Below are 22,455 nucleotides of genomic sequence, written 5' to 3'. Positions count from 1 at the left end.
TGGTTCTTGTGTCCTTTTTAGATGCCCCACCTTTATTTGAGCTCTTCCGTACTCTTTTGCATAACAGCATGCTCCATGATCCAGACTTATCTTTTACTTTCCTGGGTATAGTCCTGGAATCAGCCATTTCTCTAAGACATGTTAATATCTCTTGCTTGCTTTCGGTGAAGAGTGGTATTTAGGAAGCAAGAGCTCTGTGCTGGGTGTGCCCATTGCTGTGGGGGTGTGTAGTGTCTCAGCCCTCTCAGTGGACAAAGCTAGGGAGTAGATGTCTGTCATGTACACACTCAGCTATGTAAATGAGTGTGCCTGTGTGATTATATATACCCACACACATCTATATCTGTATTTCTCTGTGCATCTTAAAAACTATGAATTCACGCTGACTCCTCCAAGTTCTAATCGAGTACCACTGCTTGGTGAGTGAGCGCGGGAGTGCTTAGTGTGGCGGGTAGGATGACGAGGACATGCTTCTCTTCCTCCGTAGCTCATGGTCCAGCAGGGAGACTGCCATGAGGGCAGACCTCAGGCCTTAGTGCCAGTGCAGGGAGAGCGCCGAGGAACCCTGAGTGTGGAAGCTGGGGCAGGTAGAAGGCACTGCAGCCATGGGGCGCCAGGTACCTTATTCTAGATCCGCTGTGTCCCTGTGACCTTGATAAGTGATTTTCCCTCCCCAGGTTTTGTTTTCTCCTTTTAAAAATTGAGGTTTCAGTTAGAGAATTCCTGGTACAGGTGACTCTTCTTCCTCACCTGGAACCATGCTGTCTGCCGTCACTCATCATCCCCTTTGACCCCCAGACAGGTCCTACACATCTCCACATGAGACTATGGTCTTGTGAGCAGGTGTGACCAGACGCAAGGCACCATCTATTGGGTATCCCGGTCTCTTGCGAGGGCGTGCGTGGTCTTCACCCTGAGATCTCTGGGTCGGTTGACTTCCAAAGCACCCTGAGGGCACATTCATGGGTGGGAGCCGTTTTGGTGGGTTCTGTGGGCAGTGGGCAGTAGAGGGGAGGGTGGTCCAGGGGACATCAGTCACAGCTTGAAGGCTCCTGTGGGGACCAGTTCGTGGTGTCTGTCTGGCCCTCAGGGTGAGTGGCAGGCTGGGCAGCTCAGGATTCCCTGGGAACGCCGTCTTCAGGTTGTGTTTTTGTGTTCCTGCAGGGACCAGTGGACCAAGAGGCCACCTTGAAGGGGCTCTGTGGGGGCTGGTGAGAAGCCCCGGGTGGCCTAGGGAATGGGTGCAGTGGAGCCAGGCTCATGGGGCTGGGGAGGGGCACGAGGCCCCTGTGCACCTTGAATCGGGGCTTTAACCCACATCTCTTCTCCCTCTCCCCCTGGTTCCCACTGAAAAGGCCACGTCTCCCCAGGCCACCTCCACCGGTGATGGATCTGTATGACATTTTCTTACAGAGGGCAGGGCCAGCAGCCTCCATACTGAGCTAGAGGAACCAGGAAACAGGATCCAGAGGCTCCCCGCTTTCCTCACCAGGCCCTGCTGCTTCCTCTGGGCCACATGGTCTTGGGATGGCTCTACCCGTAGGGCCATCCCCAGTAGATACCAGTGCACAGGCAGCCACAGCCCTCACACAGCCACGTGGGGAGATGACAGAAGATCCTCTTCCGTGCTGGCGGCTTGGAGACTGGTCTGTTTGAGTGTAGCATGGTGGCTGTGGGCTTCTGGGGGGTCAGGAACCCTTCTAGATGTCTATGAGTTAGGATGGGGCCAGGACCCGAGCGTCCAGGGATTTGGAAGTTGGGCTTTGAGCTCCTGCCTGGACCTAAGTGTGGCTCACATGTTTCATCTCACTGGTCTTCACACCCACCCTCTGAGATTTCCCTTCTTGGTCCCATGTTACAGAGAAAGAAACAGATTCAAGGGCCAGGACTTGCTGGGACACAGCAGGCTAGAGAGAGATCCAGCTAGAGGTTGAGCTGGGACTTTGCCAGGTCTTCTGCTCCTGGACTGGGACTGTGCTGTGGTGTGAATGTCCCCTCCAAAACTCATTGAAATCCAGTCACCATTGTGACGGTATGAAGAGTGGGACCCGTGAGAGGTGATTGGGTCGTGGTCACTGCCGTATCTGGGGGTGATCTCCTGATGAGAGGAAGCGCTGGCCCCCACTTGATCTCGGCCTAGTGTGCTTGTATGCTCTTCCACCGGAGGCCCCTCTGTCTTGGACTTCCCAGCCCCCAGAACCACGAGCTGAGGAAATCTCTTTCCTTACAGACTCCCCTGTGAGTGACATTCTGTTACAGCAGCAGAAAGTGGGCTCAGACTGTGTTCTCTGCCTTACGCTGAATGCTTTTAGGGATTATACAGAGAAGTCTAAAGAGGCCGATAATGTCCAGGGCAGGGAGGTGACCTACTGCTGTCAACGTGGGTCTGTTGAGGCCAGGTAAGGGAGTCAGCTAATTCACGGTGGGAAGACAGCTCCAGCAGCAACCCCTGAGGCCACAGCTCCGCTGGGGTCCTGGTTCTGTCTCTTCCCGCCTGGGAGTAGGATGCCAGACAAGGTGCTCACTTTTCCTGGGACTGCCCCTTCCTGTGCCGCTGTCTGATTCCTGCCTGTGGAGAGGCTGTGTTAGGGGTGTGGTGAAAGCTGCGCACCCGGCAGAGGAGCTGCAGCGTGGCCATCCATGGGGGCTCCTGGTGGGCAGCTGCCCTGCTGACAGCAAGCCCTCCTGCTGCAGGCCATCGGGGCGCCTCATCCATCATTCAGTTTCTCCTCTTGAACTTTGCAGTTTCATTTTGCCCTGGAAACTGGTTTCCCCCAAAGGGTAGGCTTTGGAGAGCAGAAATTTGTGTTGTGGTTTCTCCCTGTGGTGGGGCGCGGCTGAGGGCTCCCGGCGGTCTGCAGCGGGGTCTGGCTGTGGTCTGGCCACTGATCTAGGCCTCTGCTCCCTGTGTGTGTGCACCCGTCCCTGTGAACTGACAGCTCCCTCTGTCTTTTCCGGCCTTGCCTGTGGAGCTCGCCTGAGGTTCATTTAGGGAGTGTGAAGGTAGCATGTGTTCCACTGGCCAAGGGCAAGCCTGAGCCTGAGCTCCCTGGGAGTGAGTTCAGCTCCACCTCGGTCACCATGTTTTTCCCCAGGGGACAGGGGAGGCTGGGGGCTGCAGAAAGCCCATGCGTGAGCTCAGCCACACTGGGTCCGCAGGTGGGCACCGTGGAGGCCACAGGTCGCCCGTGCCCTGGCCCCTCGTCTGGGTGTGGGCCCTGGGCTGCTTTCTGTGCCCTCGCTCCTGGGAGGCAGCGCCGCTTCTTGCCATTGCCTCTGCTGCCGTGTGTCCTGGTTGGCGGCTCAGCCCTGGGCTCGCCCGAGGAGCCCGTCCCTGCGCTCATGTCCTGCAGCCCAAGTTGTCGGGGCCTCTGGTGCCCTCACTGACCCGGCACATCCAATCAGCTGCCCTTGTCGTTTCCTCCCCCATGGGACAAGCACGATGCCGCTTTCCCGTCTGTCCCCATCTGGAGCACAGAGTCTCCGAGAGCAGGCCAGGCCTGTCTGGAGCTGCTGTGTCCCCACCACGGTGCCCGGGTCAGAGGTACAGAGAACGCGTGCCCGAAGGTGAGGGAGGGACTGCTGTCCATTTGACAGATGAGAAAACCAGGGGCGGGAGAGCTGGTGCGACCTGTGTGGGGCCTGGCCCTGTGGGCGACCTGCTCTCAAGCCAGGCTGAGGGGCTGGAGCTGTTCTGGAAGCCCCGGCCCGGGGAACGCTGTTCCCATCTGCTGGGGGAAGGGTGGCCCAGCCTGGGTGTCCTCTGCCTGTGTGGGGGCCTGGCCCCCTGCCTCAGAGGCCCTACTGGGGAGTCTGACTGAAGGGCTCAAGACCCCCACACTGGCCCCACAGCCCAGGAGTTGGGGACTGAGCCCCAGAGCTGGAGCCGGGAGCCCGGTGGGCAGTGGGTGTGGCCTGCTGCCAGGCCTCCCTCCTCCTGGGCCGGGGCGCTTTGTCCCAGGGGCAGGCTGAGTTGCCAGGGTGGTGGCACGCCTGAGGTGGGTGTTCCCTGGCACCGCCGCTTCCCCCGGCGCCCTGCAAACAGGATCTGGGCAGTGCAAGGACAGACGGCTCCCTTCAGGCTGGTGGGGGGCGGGGGCCCTGGGGAGGGCCGGCGCCAGCCTGAGGGGCTGGTGGCTGGCCTCGGCGGGCACGGAAGCAGCTCGGTAGGAAGCCTCCTTGGGAGCAAGTGGGGCATTGTCCCTGGCCTCCGTCCGGCCTCATTGAGGCAGCCCTGGAGCTCGGGCTATTCTTGGGCAAAACAGCCTGGCAGCCTCTGCCCACCCCTCCGTCCTGGCCCCGCTGCCAGCTTCCGCTCAGCGGGGCTGCGAATGGCTTCTGCGGCCCTGGCCCAGGCCCTCAGCCACATGTGGCTCAGCCAGTGCCCGCTCTGCCCTTGCCACACTCCCCCAAGGGACTCCGTGTCCCCCTCATGCCTCGTCCCTGTCCTCTGCCACATCCCCTCCTGGCCATGCCTCTGCCTGCCCAGCCCTCCCTCCTCTGAGTGCTAGCCTTGGCTGGGTCCCCTGCCCATGTGCAGCCCCTTATGCTGGCCTGCCTTCTCCTGGAGTTCTTGGGGGCGCCACCGCGTCCTGAACTCAGCAGAGTGCTTTGGTTGGGAAGGCCTGGCTCCCTCTCTTGCTGTGCCCAGGCCTTCAAGGCCGCACCCCACAGTGCCCGGCTGCCTTCCTGGCTTCTGTGGCACAGCCCTTCCCTGCACCCAGCTCACTTCTGAGAGGCTCTCATGGTGTCCGGGTGAAGTCCCATCCGAGCGAGCCAGCATGCCTGGGTGCTGACCCCTCCTCCTGGCAGGGCAGCTATGCCAGCTGTGATTGGCAGTGTGCTCCTGCTGGGACAGGAGTGGCATGCTGTGGCCAGGGTGTCTGAGGCCTTCTGGCATGTTTCATGCCCTGCACTGACGGCTGGCTGACCCCGGGCCTTAGTGTCCTCTTCTTGAATGGGGTTATAAGTCCTGCCTCACAAGTGTCGTGAGGATCAGCATTGCTCACACAGGTGAGGCACCTGGCCAGTGCCTGCTGAGCAGGTGCAGGTGAGGCAGGCGGGCTCTGGGTGGCCTGGGGCCAGTCAGATTCTCTTTTGGAGATTTCCCTGGCTCCCCCGTGAATGGGTTGCATGAGAGAACCTCCTCATGGACTTGTGTGGCATCCAGCGACGTGAGCGGTGCCGTGTCTAAGGACACTGGCTCAGCACCTGTGAGGGCTGGGCTTCTTGTTCTTTCCTCCCTCAGTGAAGGGTGGACCAATCCTGTGGGGGTTCTTGATTAGGGACAGGAGACAGGGTTTCCGATCTGGCCTGCTGGGATGTGCTGAGGTCAGGGCAGGGCTGGGGTGATGATGCACTGGACCGGGCCAGCGTGGGTGAGGACGGCTCCAGCGGGCGTGCAGCCTCCCTCAGGCAGGGAACAGGTGGGCATCTGCATCTTATGGAGCATGGCGTTGCTCGGCCTGACGTGTGGTAAGCATCGGGCTCTGAGGTCAGGTGTGGGCAGGAAGGTCAGGATGGGAGCACCTGGCTGGCCCGGTGGGACAGCTGGGTTGAGAAGTGGGGGCATGAGCTGGTTGCGGGGTGGAGGAGCAGGGGCAGCATGGGGGAAGCCGAGTAACAGCCTGGGTGAAGGCACAGAGGTGGGAGGCAGCCTGGGTGAAACAGGCAGAACCCCCAGTGAGCAAGGGTGTGGGGCAGGGGCGCAGCAAGAGCTGAGGCTGGGGCAGGACAGGGCCCAGCTCCCAGAGACCTTGGGTGCCGGTGTGGGCACAGGGGCCACTGTGGGCTGGGGCAGGACTGGAGAGGGCTGGGCCAGCGCAGGATGGGGGTTGAGTCGGACACTGGAGGGAAGTGGAAGCGTGGGGCACCTGGGGGGTTTGGGTTGGTACAGCTCAGTACCCCATGGCCCCTTGTGGTCTCCCAGCGATGGGGGGGTTGCACCCACTGGATTCCAGGTGTCCCCAGGGGCCCAGAGTGGCTTGCTGGGCGGGGCCGTGAATAGGCAGAAGACATGTGCTGCCATTTCGTGTTTCCAGACTGGCCTCCTCTGCCTGCGGTGACTCGGTGGCCCTGACCGTGGGTTAGCCTTTGTCCCTGAGCTGGCTGAGCAAACACAGAGGTGTTTCATGTTTCCATATGCAGCGAAATGAAATTGTGAGTTTGGTCAGGTGGTCTCTTTGGTGGCGGTGGAGCAGCTCACAAATCTTCACTCCCCTCCATGTGCCTGGCCGGAGCAGAGGGGAGTTGGGCAGCCTTCCAGTCCCCCCAGGGGCCCCAGCTCTGATTCAGCTCAGCTCTTTCAGACTTGAATCCCTTCCCTCCTCCCATGAGCGTTCCTACCTCTCATGAGCCCTCCTCAAGCTTCCTGTGCTCCTCCTTGTCCTGAAACCTAGCAGACCCTGCCGCCCTTTGCAGTGATGGCCGCTGGCTGCTCCCCTTGTCCTGAAACCCAGCAGACCCCGCCGCCCTTTGCAGTGATGGCCGCTGGCTGCTCCCCTTGTCCTGAAACCCAGCAGACCCCGCCGCCCTTTGCAGTGATGGCCGCTGGCTGTTCCCCTTGTCCTGAAACCCAGCAGACCCTGCCGCCCTTTGCAGTGATGGCCGCTGGCTGTTCCCCTTGTCCTGAAACCCAGCAGACCCCGCCGCCCTTTGCAGTGATGGCCGCTGGCTGCTCCCCTTGTCCTGAAACCCAGCAGACCCCGCCGCCCTTTGCAGTGATGGCCGCTGGCTGCTCCCCTTGTCCTGAAACCCAGCAGACCCCGCCGCCCTTTGCAGTGATGGCCGCTGGCCGCCCCCTCCTCTCATGGAGCCTCCGCCGTGGCTTTCGTGGCCTCTGGTTAACATCCCCCTGACTCGTCCCCATCTCCTGTGTTGTCTGTGGGGCCCTCTCCTCTCTCCGTGGTGGCTTCTCTCCCTGGGAGTTCTCTTCCTTAACAACTGTCCCTACACAGTGGACTCGCGTTCTGCATGTAGCCCCACCTCCAGGGCTTTGGGTATCTGCCTGCCTGTGCCAGCCCCTCTGGGCTCATCCCTGCACACGGCTCCCCTCACTTTCTGGCACGAGGAAGTCAAAGCACTGTCCGTGTGCCTTCTGGGCCAGAACTTAGGACTTGTCCTTGACTCTCCCTGGGTTCCGTGCCAATCCCTAGCTCCACCCTCCTCCCTCCCGGGCCCTGGTTCCTGCCGCCACCTGCTCACTGCCCTGCCAGCCCCTCACGTGCCCCCAGCAGCTTGCTCCCAATCCTGAAGTAGAGGGAGCTCCCCAAACACAAGTCTTGTGTCAGGCCTGGCTGGCCCCACCAGCGCCCCACCATCATTTGAGGTGATGGCAAGTAGTGCCCTGTGCTCAGAGCCCCCTTGAGCCGCTTCCTTGGGACTGCTGGACCCTCCCCACCTGGGGTTTGAGTGCCCCTCCCCGAGTTCTCTGAAAGCCTGTGCAGCAGCCCTCACCCAAGACGGCTTGTGCTCTTGAGGTCTCACGGGGCGTGAGGGGCCCCTAACCAGCTCGAGTGAGCTCTGGCTGGGATCAGTGTGAATGCTGTTCCTGACGATTCTCTTCCCCTGGCCCTCCTGTCCTTCTTTCTGGAACTCTCCTTCCTCGGATGGAGAAGTGCCTGTGCAGGGCTGGTGGTTTCCTCTGACTCTGCGGTGTCTTCGTGCTCTGGTTTCTGGAGGCCCCCGCTCTGCCTGCCCCTTCTCTGGAGCTCTTTGCTGCTGCTCCCAATGTTGGCTTCTCGGTGCTCCTCTGTGTTCTCTGAAAGTCCCTTTCTTGGCGTCCCCCCTTCCTGTCCTGGGGCTGTTAACACAGCCTTTGTTATCTGAGCTCGTTCCTTTGAGGGCAGTACAGAGAACTCAGGTGTTGGAACCAGACTGCCCGAGCCTGAAACCTTCTCCACCACTTAGCAGCTGGGGGACCTTGGGCAAGTTACCTCACCTCTCCATGCCTCAGTTTCCTCAGCTGCAAGGTAAAGATGCTTGTGGCCCCAGCTTAGAGGGTTGTGAGGATGAATCTGCGCGTGTAGTAAAGCGCCTCTGTGATTGTCGTCACGCGCCAAGTGTTAAGGAAGTGCTAGCTGCTATGCTGTTACGTGTTAAAGTTTTCTCTCTGGATAGTGTCTGTTTCCTCCACGCTGTGTTTCCCCCATGTGTCTTGGGCTGTCTTCCACATCTGAGCTTTTCCCGATGAGGCCCCGGCACATGTGCAGAGCTCTCTGCTCGCTGCGTTGAGACCTGCCTCTCACTCGGGGCTCCTGGAATCCCACCCGCTCTCAGAGCCCACTCTCCCCTGGGGCAGCAGACATCTCCTGCCTCCTACTGAGACCTAACTTCCTGCCCACCTCCCCATTCCAGGCAGCGTGCAGAGAGGGGAGGGAGGCCATGGCGACTGGGCAGGTACCTGGGATGCGAGGCCTGAGACCTGTGGAGAGAGGGGCTGAGGACCACTCTCCCTGCTGCCTCTCTGCGTGGGGCCGGGTGTTTTCGTGCGCCCTGGGCAGAACAAGGCCTGCGCCAGCAGCAGGTGTGAGTCCAGCTGTCCTGCTGGGCCTGCCCGGAGGGTGCCACGACTGTAGGACGGCACCGCTGTCTCTGAGGGGTTTTGTTTTGGAAAATGCAGTGGTTTTTAATAAAGATGTTATCTGTGTTCACAGTAAGAGCTTTGTTATTTAAAATGAGTTACTACTATTTCAGAAGCCTCCGTTTGAGTTTCTAATGCAGTGGATGTTAGTAGGTGCGATCCGCAGCAACCAGAGCTGTTTGGGTCCCGATTGTTCTGAGCAGGGCAGTGGGGCCCACTGGGTCGATGGTGTCCTGGTGCTGCCCTGCTCTGGGCAGGGCTGGATGGCACAGGCGGGTGTCTTGCTCAGAGGGAACGTGGGGTCACACCGCCTTCCCCGGCCCTAGGGACTTGGGTCTGTACTCAGCTGGCGTGAGGCTCACTTTGCTCTGAAACCTGCCTTCGCACTTCAGGTGTTTGTGTGGGCGGGTGGAGCCCTTGCCCTGAGGTGTTTAGAACTTAAGGTGTGGCCTGGCCAGCAGGTTCCGTAGTGATAGCATTAGGGTGTAGGCCAGTCAGAAGCTGCCCGCACAGGGACCCCTGCACACAGGGAGGACGCTCTGGCAGTGTCTGGGCAGGAGAGCTCCCGTTATCCTCTGGTCATTTGCTCTGAGTCCCTGGAGCTGCAGCCCACGGGAGGAGAGGTTTGGGCGGGATGCCCAGCTCCCCATTCCAGGGACGGCCGGTGCCCCAAGGGTGGCGCCACTCCCATGAGTTATGTGTTGAGTGCTTACTGTTTGCCAACCATAATGTGTGTCTGATTGCATCTCACAACAGCCCTAAGACGCAGGTCCTCTTCTTCCCCTTACTTCACAGATGAGGAAACTGAGGCCCAGAGAGGCCCCATGGCTCTTGCCAGCTGCACAGGTTTCATTCAGCCAGGGCAGAGCCAACCCCGGGCCTGACCCAGCCCCACTACCGTGGAGTGCGGCTCAAGACGATGGAGCTAGAGATGCCGGCAGGCTGCATGGGTGCCGGGTTCTCAGCCCGGCCTGGGCCTGACTCACATGCAGTGGATGCTGCCCTGCCTGCATGGCGGGGGCCCAGCGCTCCCAGAAGCCACCTGGGAGGCTGGCGGTGGGGGTTGGTCTTTAAGAGCCGGCCAGAGGGCTCACCTTGCTGGGGGTCCCTCTTGGGAGGGGAGGGGGCACACCTTCCTCAGGCTGTGTTTCTGTGTTCCTGCAGGGACCAGTGGACCAAGAGGCCACCTTGAAGGGGCTCTGTGGGGGGGTTGCTGTTTGGGGGCTGGTGAGAAGCCTGGAGTAGCCTAGGGAATGGGTACAATGGAGCCAGGGTCTTGGGGCTGGGGAGGGGCCGGCGGCCCCTGTGCACCCTGAATTGGAGCTTTAATCCCCATGTCTTCCCCCTCTTCCCCCTGCTTTTCGTGTTTCCTCCAGCTCAGTGTGGAGGCTGCTGGCCCTGCCATCTGTAAGAAGATGTCATACGGATCCATCGCCCGTGGAGGTGGCCTGGGGAGCCGTGGCCCTTTCGGGGGACCTTCGAGACAAGGCTGTCAGCCCCTAGGTAATGATAGTAGCTGGAAGTGGGGGCGGGGAGGAGGGGATGGTAGTGGGTAGGGTAGGATCCTCACTGTGTCATGCTGATGGCTGGAAACCAGTTCTGTTCTTTTGAGGAAAGTGGCCTGTGTCCTGAGATGGGGTGTGATTCCTGAGCTCAGCCCATTCAGGCCCCTGGAAAGGAAGCATCAGGAGTGGCTGTCCTGGGTGTGGGCAGACCTGGGTGTCCCAGTTCATGCTGGGCATGGAGCTGGCACTTAGAGCACCAAGCTGCTGGTGGGTGGTGCTCGGGGTGTTTGGAGAGTGGCTGAGGGGATGCAGGATCTCACCTGGCCTTCCTAATGACGGTGTGGAGCAGGTGGCACTTTGCACTCTGTACAGAGGAGGAAGCTGAGGCCCCTGGGGCTCTCAAACCTCATCCCAGGGCCGCGCAGCTGGTGCAGGGCAGAGCTGGGGTTTATTTCTAGGTGTTTCAGAGCGTCGAGCCGCTGCTCTTCCATTTCACCTCATCCACCCCCACCCTGCAGGCTGGCCCCACTTAGGTCCTCATGGTACCTGACTGCCATGGTAACCCCCCGCTCCTGCTCTGCTGTCAGCTTGGCCTGCACATCCGGCCCTTCACGTGGGCAGGCCTGGGTCATGTAGGTGATGTCTGGGTCAGGGCAGCCGCCATGAGGGTTGTCTGGGTGTGGGGAAGAGGACTGAATTTGGGGCCTCAAGCTCTTTGCGTACCTCTCTCCACCCAGTGCCAGGCCTCGGGCTCAGCCTAACAGCTGTGCAGGCAGGGGCTCCCTCGCCGTGGGGCCCTTCTCTGCTGGGGAGTGAGCGTCCTCCCAGCTGTGCGGGCAGGTCTCCCTCACCCTGGGGCCCTTCTCTGCTGGGGTGGTTCCTCCCTTGCAGCTCTGCTTGGCTCTTGCCGGGGCTCTGGTCCCCAGGGGGCCTGTTCAGGGAATGAGGCCGGCTGAGGGGCCCTCGCTGGCTCCTTGGCAGCCCCCAGTGCCCTGGATTTGTTTCCCACCCCCAGCCCTGCAGAGAGGGAGCAGCATGTGCTCGAGAGGGCGGCTGCCTGCCTCAGCCCTGCTGGGATAGGATGGCAGCAGGGAGGACGGGTGCAGATGGCCATTGGTGATATCACCAAGTGCCCCTCCTCATCTTGCCATCACCACTTAGCGCCTCACAGGCCAGGTCCTCTAGGATGCCCTCATCCTTCCTGCCCACTGGGAGTGCCGGGCTGGCCTGGTCTCCTCCCACTTCTGCCTCCCTTTCCTCCTTCCCGCCGAGACCATTGATACAGCGTCTGCTGTGTGCCAGGAGTTGGGCAGGAGGCAGAGAGACAAGTGAGTCCTGTGCCCTTAGGGGGCCTGTGTTCTGACTGGGATGGTTCTGAGATCCTCTTTCTTGAGTGCTAGGAAGGAAATGACCCAGCAGGGACTAGGACTGCCAGCCCAGAGGGGTGGACTGCATGAACTGAGGAGGTGAAGGAGGGCCCTCGGGGAGGGGGTGCTTAGTGGAGAGTAGAGGGGGACCCTGGAGAAGGCAGCCCCGGGAGACCTGAATGAGAGTGTCCTGGGAGACGGGCCGGTGTGGATGGAGGTTCCTTCCATGGGCCAGGGAAGCCTGCAGGGCCTTAGGCAGGGCACGGTGTCAGCTGCTTGATCTATTTTATGTTTAAAAATGTGTTCCAAGGGACGCTGAGTAGACACAGGATTGTACGTGTGTGTGCATGTGCACACGTGTGCGTGGGGTGTAGACACAGGTTCAGATCTAACGGTTCGGAGGTGGTGCGCCTGACCCCCAGGCCCCTGCTCCTTTACCCTCCTGCCTCCTTCGTCCTTGCTCTGAACTGTGTATGTGCCGCATCTTGCTGGTTCTTCACGGTTTTGCTTATGCGTGTGCATATCCCTGAGCCGTATGTTGCTGAGCTGTGCAGGTTTTGAACTTCCCTGGGCTCAGACGATTTGCGTTGCTCCGTGTCGTGCTGCTTTTACGCATCGTGTTCTGAGAGCCTCCACGTTGCGCGTGGCTGTGGCTCCTTCGATTCCGCGCTGCATCACGTTGGGTTCTGTGAGCACACCGCGGCGTCTGTGCGTGTTCCGCATCTCAGGGATGCTAAGGCTGGCTCCTGTGTCGTCCCTCACAGCCTGTGCCCATGGCCAGGGCCTCTGCAGGTACACGGGGCGTGGCGTTCCTGGGCTGGGCCACCTGCAGCCGAGCTGATGCGGGCCCCACCCAGAGCCCTCTTTGCTCCATGTCCTTGTCAGCACCCAGGGGTGTCGGACGGTGATGTCTTGCCAGCCTGGTGGGTGTGGCTTGTCCTCTCTGGTTGGAAGGATGTTTCTCTGATAATGAATGGGGTGGATCCCCTTTTCGTGTTTATTGGGCATGTGGGTCTTCCTGCCAGTGAGCACTGTTTGTCTGCTTTTCTCTTGGGTTTGCCTTGTGCTTATGGGTTCACAGGCTTCCCTCCTGTGCTCTGGAGATGAAAGCCTCATCAGGTGGGTTTACACAGCCCAATCCAGGCCGGGCCGGCTTCTCACTGGGAGGCCTGCTGGGAAGCAGAAGTTCTCAGCCAGGGCAGCGTTGAGTTGATCCATCATTCCCTTCGGGACTCGCACTTTTCTCTTTAGTAACTTCCATCACAAGATGATAATGCTGCCATCTTTTACTTCCCTCTAAAGATTGAACAATTTGTTTTTCATATTTAAGACTGTAATTGACCTTTGATTTTTGTTTACGGTGTGAGGTGGGGTGAGTGTGGAGGGGAAGCTGTGATGTTGTTTTTCTCTGTTTGAAGAACAAATTGTGTGGACTGTTGAATTGCCTTTCTTCTGTAGACCTGCAGTGACAGCTCTGTGATAAAGTTTTCATGTGGATTCTCTGGTCAAGTTTGCTTTTCCTGTGCCAAAATCCACCTTAATTTCTATAGTTTTGCTATAATTCTCAATACTTTTTAGAACAAAGTGCCCTTCTTATTTTTCTACAGAAGTGTCTCGGGTATGTTTGGCGGTTTGATGTTGACCATAAGGTTTAGGATCACCTGTCGCACTCTGGAGCTTTGACTGGGTTTGCCTGGCGTCCCTGCATCTGTGTGGGGAGAAGTGATTTCTTTATCGTTCTGAGCCTTCCAGTCCGTGAACAAGCACACGTCTTTATATTTATGGGGTTTTCTTTAATGTCTTGCAATGAAGTCATTTAACTTTCTCTGTAAAGATCTTACATATCTTTTCTTAAATTCATTTCAAGAAAGTAAAAACTTTCTTTCCTGCTGTTGTAAGTGGTACCATTCTGAATATTACATTTTCCAAATGCGTCTTGCTGGTGTGTGCATGTAATTGGCTTTTTCTAAGAACAAAGTCCAGATATTGTATTTAATTTTTGAATATTTTATGTTTTAATTTTCTAAATGTGGAAACTTTCAAACACATCAAAGTAGACTCAGACGCGTCACAGCCCCTGGTGTACCTTGGCTTCCCCTCACTGCTCGTGGCCAGTGTGGCGGTACATGTGCCCCCAAACTGCTTCCCTGCTGTGTCATTCCGGAGTAAATCCCAGATAGCAGATCATCTCATCTGGTAATATTTCAGCGTGTCTCTAAAAGAGAAGGACTCCTTTTATGTGTGACCAGATTTCCACTGTGACAGCACGTTTGGCTGCCATACCCGACCTGCAGTTGAAGTGGCCGACGGCCTCTAGGAGTGTCTGTTTCAGAGATGCCGTTTAACGTGGAGCCTCCCGAGATCCCGTGTTACAGCTGACCTATGCTCCTCCTTCGAGTGTGTCTCTGTCTCTGGCTTCCCTCCATCTCTTTATTTCCCTCCAAGTTTATTTGTTGAAGAAACCAGGGTTTTCCTGTGTGGTGTAATTGATTTTTGTGTACTGGTTTGTGTCCAGCCATGTTGCTAAACCCTTTTTATTGTAATTATTTGTCTGTGGAATCTGTTGAGCTTTCCCTGTAGATGGTGGTGTTTGTGCATAATGACAGTGTTTTCGCTCCTTTTCCAGTGCTTTCACCTATTATGTGTTTCTTTTCCTGGCTGGAACCTCTACTGCAGTGTTGAATGGAGATGGTGGTTCTATTCTTGGTGAGTTTGTGGAAGAACAGGATTATGTATTCCTTGAATGTTTCTGGGTTTTTGCTGTAAAACTATGTGGGTCTAGTGTTTTCCTTTGTGGAAAGATTTTCTGACTACCAGTTAATTCCTCTAGTTGTCAAACGTTATTCAGGCTTTCTGTTTCTTCTTGGGTCAGTTTTGTTAAGTTGCATTTTTCTGGAAATTCGACTGTTTTATCTAAATGTTCAACTTACTGAAATGAAATTGTACACAATAGCCTTTCGCTGTCAGTTGTGACACTGGGGCACCCTCATGTAATGGTTAAGATGCAGATGCAGAAGCCGGCCTGCCCTGGTCCCAGCCCTGCCCGCCCTGCCTGCCCTGGTCCCAGCCCTGCCTGCCGAGGTCCCAGCCCTGCCCACCCTGCCTGCCCTGATCCCAGCCCTGCCCGCCCTGCCTGCCCTGGTCCCAGCCTTGCCTGCCCTGCCTGCCCTGCCTGCCCTGCCTGCCCTGCCTGCCCTGGTCCCAGCCCTGCCTGCCCTGGTCCCAGCCCTGCCCGCCCTGCCTGCCCTGGTCCCAGCCTTGCCCGCCCTGCCTGCCCTGGTCCCAGCCTTGCCTGCCCTGCCTGCCCTGGTCCCAGCCCTGCTAGTCTTTGTCCCAGCGTGCCAGCCCTGCCTGCTTGGTCCCTGCCCTGTCTGCCTTGCCCTGTCTACCCACCCTGCCTGCCTTGGTCTCAGCCCTGCCCACCCTGCTGCTCATGAGCTTTGTGAACTCAGGGTTGGGAAGGGGAGGTGAGAAGAGACCTCCGGCCTGGTGGTCATGCAGATGGATGTGTCGACACCCGTGAAGCTCGGGCAGGGCCGCTGAGGGCCAGTGGTGGCTGCTGCTGCTTTCACAGCCACAGCATCTCAACCACGTCCCCTTTCTCATTCCTGATATTCTGTATTTGTACCTTCTCTGTCTTCTTTTATAGTCAGTATCGACAGAGACCTGGCAGTTCCACAGGTCTCTGCAGAGATATGGCCCCTGGCTTCCCCCTTCTGTGCGTGCGAGTTTTAAATTGTGATTGATTTCTGCTCATAGTTTCATCATTTCCCTCCTTTCTTTAAGTTGATGCTATTTTATTTTTCTGACTCCCAGATTGAATATTTACCACATTCACCATGAATATGGTAAATATTCATTTCTAATAAAAGCATTGGAAATTAGAAATTTCCCTAGAAACTGCTTTAGTTGAATATCACACATTTTGAAATGTATAGTATTTTAAATTTTTTTTCAGTTCTAAATATCTTTAACTTTCCATTATGATTTCTTTGTTTAGGAATTACTTGGAAGTTTACTTCATCATTTTCAGATGTACTTTTTTCCAGTTGTCTTTTTAAAGTGATTTCAAACCCGAACACACATCTGAAAGAAAAGCACCAGTGTTGTCCCGGTTTGTTGAAAATCGTCGCGCTGGGGCTGCTTCTGGGGCATGGGGGCGAGCCTGGCTCAGTGCCTCCTTTGCTCCCCTCAGCTCTTGGCCTTCTGTGTGGGCGGGGCCTTCGAGGACCCTCAGAGCTGGGCAAGGCCTTCCAGGCAGGCTGGTGGGGCCTGGACAAATTCCCCATGGGTGTAGGGTCAGCTGCATGTGCCCAGTCCCTGCTGTGTGCCAAAGTCCTGCCACCCTAACTGTGCAGCACCTTAGGGCCGTCGTGTCACTATAACGTTCTCTGGACAGAGGCAGCAAAAAGCCAGCTAGTGAGTCGTCAACTCATAAATAACTCAGATACACAGAAGAAAGCTCCCCAGAGCTCCATGCACACGGGCCAGCTCTGTGGACAGCTAGGACATGTAGCTGTCTCCTCAGCGCACCAGCAGCGGTCAGCCTCACGATAACCTGGCAGGAAAAGAAAATGTCGACACGCCCTTGGCAGCCTGGGGCGGGAGCGGGGGCCAGGGGAGGGTGGGCATGGGGTGCCGGGAGCAGCCAGCTTTGGGGCAGCCTGGGGCGGGAGCGGGGGCCAGGGGAGGGTGGGCATGGGGTGCCGGGAGCAGCCAGCTTCGGGGCAGCCTGGGGCGGGAGCGGGGGCCAGGGGAGGGTGGGCATGGGGTGCCGGGAGCAGCCAGCTTGGGGCGGCCGGGAGTGTTCCTTCTCTTAGCCCAGCCGTGCTTCCTCTTGGACTCTGTCTTAGGAGATAGACACACGGGCAGAGGTGTTCACCACATGTGATTTGTGCGAGTGCTGACTCAGAAATACTGTAAGCATCTGGCTTTAGGGAGACGATGTGTTACAGCTGGGATAGAATTTGACGCAGGCATTAAAATCACATCGTCGAAGGCTCTCTAGTGACCCGCGCACGTTCTGTGATTTGTGGCGAATGTGGTGCGTGGAAGAAGCAAAGCCATACGTGCAGCATTTGCTTGTGGGAGACAGCCGCCCACCTCCAGGGTTAATGTTTATCTCTGGATGTTGTGATCTTTATTTTTTTATTTATAACTGTCTGCATTTACATTTTTTCTGTAATTTGTGGGTATTATTCTATTCAAAAGCAAACAGCAAATGTCCCAGGCCTGTCCCTGCCATGTTCTAGGTTCACGTGGCTCAGGTGGGCAGAGCATACTGGCCCCTCGAGGGGCGTGGGGAGCAGCGTGGAATAACGTTGGTGCAGTGGGCAGGACCTGGACTTGGGTGAGTGGATGCAGTGTGGTGAGGTGATGACATGTCCTTCTGGACTTGGGTGAACGGATGCAGTGTGGCGAGGTGATGGCGTGTCCTTCTGGACTTGGGTGAGCGGATGCAGTGTGGCGAGGTGATGGCGTGTCCTTCTGGACTTGGGTGAGCGGATGCAGTGTGGCGAGGTGATGGCGTGTCCTTCTGGACTTGGGTGAGCGGATGCAGTGTGGCGAGGTGATGGCGTGTCCTTCTGGACTTGGGTGAGCGGATGCAGTGTGGCGAGGTGATGGCGTGTCCTTGAGTGACAGCAGGGCCTGTGGTCTCTCTGGGGGCCTGTGGGACCCCATTTCTGAGCAGAGGCTGAGCTCAGTCACCAAGTGCCTGGATCCCCTCACAGGCCATTGTCCGGGGTTTCCAGCTTGGAGAGTGTGTCTCTGTGCAGAGAGAGGATGGTGTGGATGCCAGGGGAGAAGGGCCTGCCGGGAGCTGGAGGGACAGGCCCTGCCCTCTTGGGAGGGGGACCCATGCTGGAGGCTCACTTCATCAAACACTGAGAGGCGTCTGTGACTTGGGATCCCTCCCTCTGTGACTTGGGCCCCCTCCGGGCCTTGGTCAGTGCCTCTTCGTGGGTGCCTGGTTTTCCCAGGGCAGTGTCTGTCTCCAGGCTGCGGCTGCTCCCTCTCCATCCCCTCCAGAGGGTTGTCTTCTGACTCTGATCTACTTTGCTGCACTTCTCTGCCCTGCGGAAACCTCCGCCCCGAAATGAGCCAGGCAGCTGCCCTCCCGTCCTTCTGCAGGCTTCTCCCTCTTCCCCCCACCAGGGCCCAGAGCTGGAGGGTGAGCGTGCCCCAGTCCAGAGCAGTGAGCTGGGCACTGGAGGCCCTTTCCTGAGTCTGTGTGGCCGTAGGCCTGTCTCTGCCTGTGTGGTTTGGGCAGTGCTGTCTGGGGGCAGGAGGATGGACCAGGTAGCCTTTGGGCCCTCGCCCACCTCGTGGGGGTCCGATGAGAGGCTTTGGGAAAGTCCTTCCCTCCCTGTCACGTTGGGCTGTAGGGTCCCCCTAGACGGATCCTGAGAGGGAGCTCACCAGGGCGGCCCCTAGTGTCACTTCTCTGAGGGTTGTATGAAGGGCCTTTTCCAAGAGCTGCTGCTTCAGGCGCTTGGCTCAAGGATGCAGCCCTGGGACCCACTGTGCCGACCTGGCCCTGGAGGCCGCGGATGTGGCTGGAAAGCGCTTCCAAGCCAGCAGCATCCTTGTGACCTACCAGGACACGTCCCGGGAAGAACAGGTTGCAGACAGGCACGCGGGGTCTGGCTTCGGAGGCCTCAGCCTGGCGCACACGGCGTGTCTGTGACTCTGGGGTGCCGTGGATCGAAAGGCACATCGTGGTTCTGGAGATTTTAAAAGGCTTTTATAAGGTGCATCTGAGGATCAATGAATTTCAATGAAATGTGTCCAGAAATGTTTTGTGAACAAATGGAAATAATTAGAGAAAATTACGATGCGTTCCGTGCGGGGGCTGGGAGCCGGGAGATGGGGAGCACGCGTCTCTGCCTCCGCAAAGCCGAGTGGGGACAGCAGTGTGGCTTTGCTTTTCATCTCCCATACGCTACGGAGTGGCACTTTTATAAAATGCAGTAGAATGATTCTGAGCGTGGAGGTCGCAGCAGTTTCAAATTGCCTTAAACGATGCTGGAGCCGCACTTCCCATTTTGTACTTTGTTGCTGACTGGTAATAGCTGTCCAGGGATTAATCTGTGGCTACCCCTGCAAGCCCTGGGGGTTGTTTGCTAGTTTGCAGTCACATTTCAGAACTGGTTCAGAGAAAAGTCCGGAACACCTAAAGTTCTGAACTCCTTGCTGGCATTCAGCAGAAGGGGGATGATCCAGAGGATATAGCAGGCAGGGAGGGCTTCCTGGAGGAGGAGCCCTGAGTGGAGCATCTCGGGTCCTGGGTGTCTGCTGTCCGTGCATGGGGGCCTGGCACTGCCAGGAGCGCCCTGAGCTGAGAGTAATCGTGACTGTCCCTTGCTGTCCGTAGAGTGCGCTAGATGTTGGACCGAGTATGGAATCCGCCATTTCCCCTGCCCGTCGCCAGAGAGCAAGCTGCAGAACCGCTGTGTGGGGAAGGACGGGGAAGGTGATCTGGGGCCAGCAGGCACGCCTATTGTCCCAAGGGCCAGGAAGCGAGGTACTTCACTCAGACGCTGGGTCTCAGGGGTCCTGGGAAGGCGGCTTGGAGATGCAGGTGCTGAGGAGGGCAGGGTCAGCAGGTGGGAGCTGCAGGGAGGAGGCTGGGACCAGGAGGCAAGGGACCTGCATCCCCTGCCCCCTGCCAGGCCTTCCCCTGAGTAGGGTCAAGGGTGCAGCCGGCCCATACAGGCCACAGGATGGAAGCTGTGTGGTGGCCAGAGCTGGCCAACCCTGTAGGCTCAGGACTGAGCAGGGGTGCTCCCGCTGGGGGCTCTGGACCTGCTCTTGTGGCCCCTCACCCTCAAGCCCGACTGTCCTTGTGCAGTGGGCCGGTGAGGGGTGGCAGAGTGCTTGCTGTGGTTTGGGGAGGAACAGGTGCGGTGACCTCTGCAGGTATCCTGGTGGGCTTCCCTCCTGGTGGAGGGGCCCCTTCCAGGTCCTTCTGGGACACCAGGCCCCCAGGGAGAGGCCTGTACTTGAGTGCTTCTCCTTGGGGGCTCAGACATGCAGCACCAGGGAACCTGCAGTGTCGGGCACTGTCCCTGCCTTCAGGAAGCTGGTCCGGTTAGTGAAAAAGCTCGTCTGTGAGCAAAGACGCAGAGACTTTGCCACTGTTGCCAGTGCAGCCCTGTTCCCTTGCAGGATGGAGGGCTGTGGAGGCACAGGATGGTAGGGGGGTGAGGCTGCCGACCAGGCCACCACGTCCCCACCGGCCTCAGCCCAAGTGCGGGAGGGGAAGTCGAGGCTGGCCACCGTGTCCCCACCGGCCCTGGCCCAAGTGTGGGAGGGAAGCCGAGGCCTGTGCTCAGAGGGCTCTTAGTTGTGCTGTGGGCAGGTAGGCAGGAGCCTTCCAAAATGTCAGCTGGCAAGGCTGTCCCCAGGCGAGGGCTGATCCCGGGAGCAGCCCAGCCCTGGCCTGAGGGCAGGAAACCCTGGAGAGGGTCCAGGGCCGCAACCTAGCCTGCTCGGCTCCTGCACCTCTGTGGTGGCTGCAGGGGCAGGCAGGGCTAGTGGTGTGCTGTCTTGGAGATGGGGCACTGTGACCCAGAAGCTACGTGCTTGCTGATGGCACCTGGTGAGGCAGTGTCAGGGCTAGGGGATCGTGGGCCCAGGTCTCTGGACACCCAGCAGGGAGGGGTGGTGGCCAGGACCAGGCAGCCGTGTCCTGAAGCAGAAACCAGAGAGGAGGCGCCGTAGGGAGCTGCCGCCGGGGCCGCTGCCTCCACAGGCCCAGGGCCTTAAACATCCGCCTTTTGGTGCCTTTCCAGGGCCTGGGGTTGCCCCTGAAGGCAGCCGGATGCCGGAGCCCACCTCATCACCCACCATTGGCCCGAGGAAGGACTCGGCTGCTGGGCCCCATGGCCGGATGGCGGGGCCCAGCACTACCCGGGCCAAGAAGAGGAAGCCCAACTTCTGCCCGCAGGAGACCGAGGTGCTGGTGTCCAAGGTGAGCAAGCACCACCAGCTGCTGTTTGGCACGGGGCTGCTGAAGGCCGAGCCCACTCGCAGGTACCGCGTGTGGAGCCGCATCCTGCAGGCCGTGAATGCGCTGGGCTACTGTCGCCGCGACGTTGTGGACCTGAAGCACAAGTGGCGGGACCTACGAGCCGTCGTGCGGCGCAAGCTGGGCGACCTCCGGAAGGCGGCCCATGGCCCCAGCCCTGGTTCCGGCAAGCCCCAGGCCCTGGCTCTCACGCCCGTGGAGCAGGTGGTGGCCAAGACCTTCTCTTGCCAGGCCCTGCCCTCCGAGGGCTTCAGTCTGGAGCCGCCCAGAGGTGAGTTCCTTGCTCAGCTCACCTTGCTAGGGTGCCACTCTGTCCAGCAGGAGGGGGGGGCCCATCTTGGCCATGTTGCCCTGCATCTTCCTCCACAGTGACTTTCCTCCTCCTCCTCTTCCTCCCCTTCCCCTCTCCCCTCCTCCTCTCCCCTCCTCCTCCTCCTCCCCCTCCTCCTCCTCCTCCTCCTCCTCTTCTCCCCTCCTCCCCCCACTCCCCATCACCACTGTCTCATCTGGAGTGTTCTTGTTCATTCATCCTCTGCCCCGTTCACTCTTCACTCATCTGTGCATCCACCCGTCTGTGCATTCAGCCAATATCTATTACCTATAAAGGGAGCATTAGTAAATTTTGTCTCCCTGCTTGGCGTTTGACTTGGCCTGTCCCTCACCGCGTCCTAGAGCGGAGCTGAGCATGCAGACAGGCAGGACAGAGTTCTCCCGTCACCATCACCCAGTCACACACTGGGACCACGGCCGTGGCGAGAAGGGCATTTGCCGTTGCTGCCTGGGGTAGACACACACACCGAGAATCAGGCATTTCTAGCCGTGCCGACGCTCCCCATGGCCACGCGTGCTCATGTTCCTCCTGCTGCGTCTTGTGCTACTCATGAAAGAAAAAGCTGATTGCAACTTACTAAACTGGTTTTCTGACCTGGGTTTCAGCGCCGTGGTTTGAAACATGCTGCTCTGTTACTGTTTTTAACACCCAGAAGAGGCCTTCCTACAGGCTGGCGCCGCCCTGTGGTGTCAGGGTGGGCAGGTTGAGACCTGGGAGGCAGCATCTGCTCAGAGCTGCAGTGGGCCTTCTGCAGACCCTGAGGCTGAGGCTCAGGCAGAGTCCCTTTTCCCAGGGAGAGCATCGCTTTATTGGTGTCTGATGGGTCAGGGAGGTCTGCAGGAGGTCAGCGTGGGCCCAGTGTCTGAGCTCCTGCTGTGGTGGGCCCGGGCAGGTGCTGGGACAGGTGCAGGGCGTAGGCATGGCATGCTGAGCTCTTGCTGTGGTGGGTCTGGACAAGTGCTGGGACAGGTGCTGGGTGTAGGCACGGCGTCTGAGCTCCTGATGTGGTGGGCCCGGGCAGGTGCTGGGACAGGTGTCCGGAAGTTGCCTGGACAGGTGCTGGAACAGGTGTCCGGACAGTTGCCTGGACAGGTGCTGGGCGTAGGCATGGCGTCTGAGCTCCTGCTGTGGTGGGCCCAGACAGGTGCTGGGACAGTTGCCTGGACAGGTGCAGGGCGTAGGCATGGCGTCTGAGCTCTTGCTGTGGTGGCCTGGACAGGTGCTGGGACAGGTGCTGGGCATAGACATGGCGTGCACTCAGGCCTCTTGACTGTTGAACGAGGCCGTGCTATAGGAGATCTGGAAGAGGAGGGCGGCAGCCTGGTTCCTGCACTGGATTCCAGCTGTGGGCGATGAGGCCTCCGTCCTGGTGTGGAAGCTGCCTGGACATGCCCTGCCCCGGGACTGGATGGGTCCCTAGAGCACTGGGCTGCAGTGGGCCAAGGTTCCCCTCAAGACATTGGCTGGGATCTGCCCCCATACCTGAGCCCAGTGTGTGGCGAGGACCGCAGTGCTGGCTGTGGTGGAGCTGACAGTGTCTGGAAGAGGATCTGAGCAAGTGCTCCCAGCCCCACCTGGACGGGGCAGACCTAAGTAGGCATCTCTGGTCACGGGCGCTGAGGCCTCCTGCTCAGCTGCAG

At 58.7% G+C, this 22,455-nt stretch overlaps 1 protein-coding gene across 48 annotated transcripts in view, besides 4 other annotated features; it reads left to right on the top strand.

Annotated features, from left to right (window-relative positions):
• The window catches only part of TSNARE1 (t-SNARE domain containing 1), a 194,950-nt gene that overhangs the window by 42,309 nt on the left and 130,186 nt on the right, over nucleotides 1-22,455 (top strand). For 31 of the 48 annotated variants that reach the window (XR_007060718.1, NM_001366901.1, NM_145003.5 and 28 more), the window contains 3 exons: nucleotides 9,958-10,084; nucleotides 18,829-18,978; nucleotides 20,249-20,755. Coding sequence is in view for 46 of the 48 variants with exons in the window: in XM_047421475.1 (XP_047277431.1) it covers nucleotides 9,958-10,084; nucleotides 18,829-18,978; nucleotides 20,249-20,755 (784 nt within the window). In the remaining 2 variants the exon portion in view is untranslated. Of the gene's footprint in view, nucleotides 1-9,957; nucleotides 10,085-18,828; nucleotides 18,979-20,248; nucleotides 20,756-22,455 lie in introns of those variants that run through there. The other 17 variants (XM_047421487.1, XM_047421484.1, XM_047421486.1 and 14 more) reach the window with 3 other exon arrangements.
• Nucleotides 4,424-4,924: an enhancer, noted in NCBI's record as "H3K4me1 hESC enhancer chr8:143441158-143441658 (GRCh37/hg19 assembly coordinates)". NCBI's record gives its function as "activates a minimal SCP1, AML or CMV promoter by ChIP-STARR-seq in primed H9 embryonic stem cells {active_cell/tissue: H9 hESC(primed)}" and the evidence as "EXISTENCE:reporter gene assay evidence [ECO:0000049][PMID:30033119]".
• Nucleotides 8,676-9,443: an enhancer, noted in NCBI's record as "H3K27ac-H3K4me1 hESC enhancer chr8:143436639-143437406 (GRCh37/hg19 assembly coordinates)". NCBI's record gives its function as "activates a minimal SCP1, AML or CMV promoter by ChIP-STARR-seq in naive and primed H9 embryonic stem cells {active_cell/tissue: H9 hESC(naive and primed)}" and the evidence as "EXISTENCE:reporter gene assay evidence [ECO:0000049][PMID:30033119]".
• Nucleotides 20,117-20,632: an enhancer, noted in NCBI's record as "H3K27ac-H3K4me1 hESC enhancer chr8:143425450-143425965 (GRCh37/hg19 assembly coordinates)". NCBI's record gives its function as "activates a minimal SCP1, AML or CMV promoter by ChIP-STARR-seq in primed H9 embryonic stem cells {active_cell/tissue: H9 hESC(primed)}" and the evidence as "EXISTENCE:reporter gene assay evidence [ECO:0000049][PMID:30033119]".
• Nucleotides 20,633-21,149: an enhancer, noted in NCBI's record as "H3K27ac-H3K4me1 hESC enhancer chr8:143424933-143425449 (GRCh37/hg19 assembly coordinates)". NCBI's record gives its function as "activates a minimal SCP1, AML or CMV promoter by ChIP-STARR-seq in primed H9 embryonic stem cells {active_cell/tissue: H9 hESC(primed)}" and the evidence as "EXISTENCE:reporter gene assay evidence [ECO:0000049][PMID:30033119]".

The sequence above is a fragment of the Homo sapiens genome, chromosome 8, assembly GCF_000001405.40.
Source record: "Homo sapiens chromosome 8, GRCh38.p14 Primary Assembly".
Taxonomy (NCBI): Eukaryota; Metazoa; Chordata; class Mammalia; order Primates; family Hominidae; genus Homo; species Homo sapiens.
Note: the sequence above shows the minus strand (reverse complement) of the source record. Positions and strands in the feature narration are given on the sequence as shown.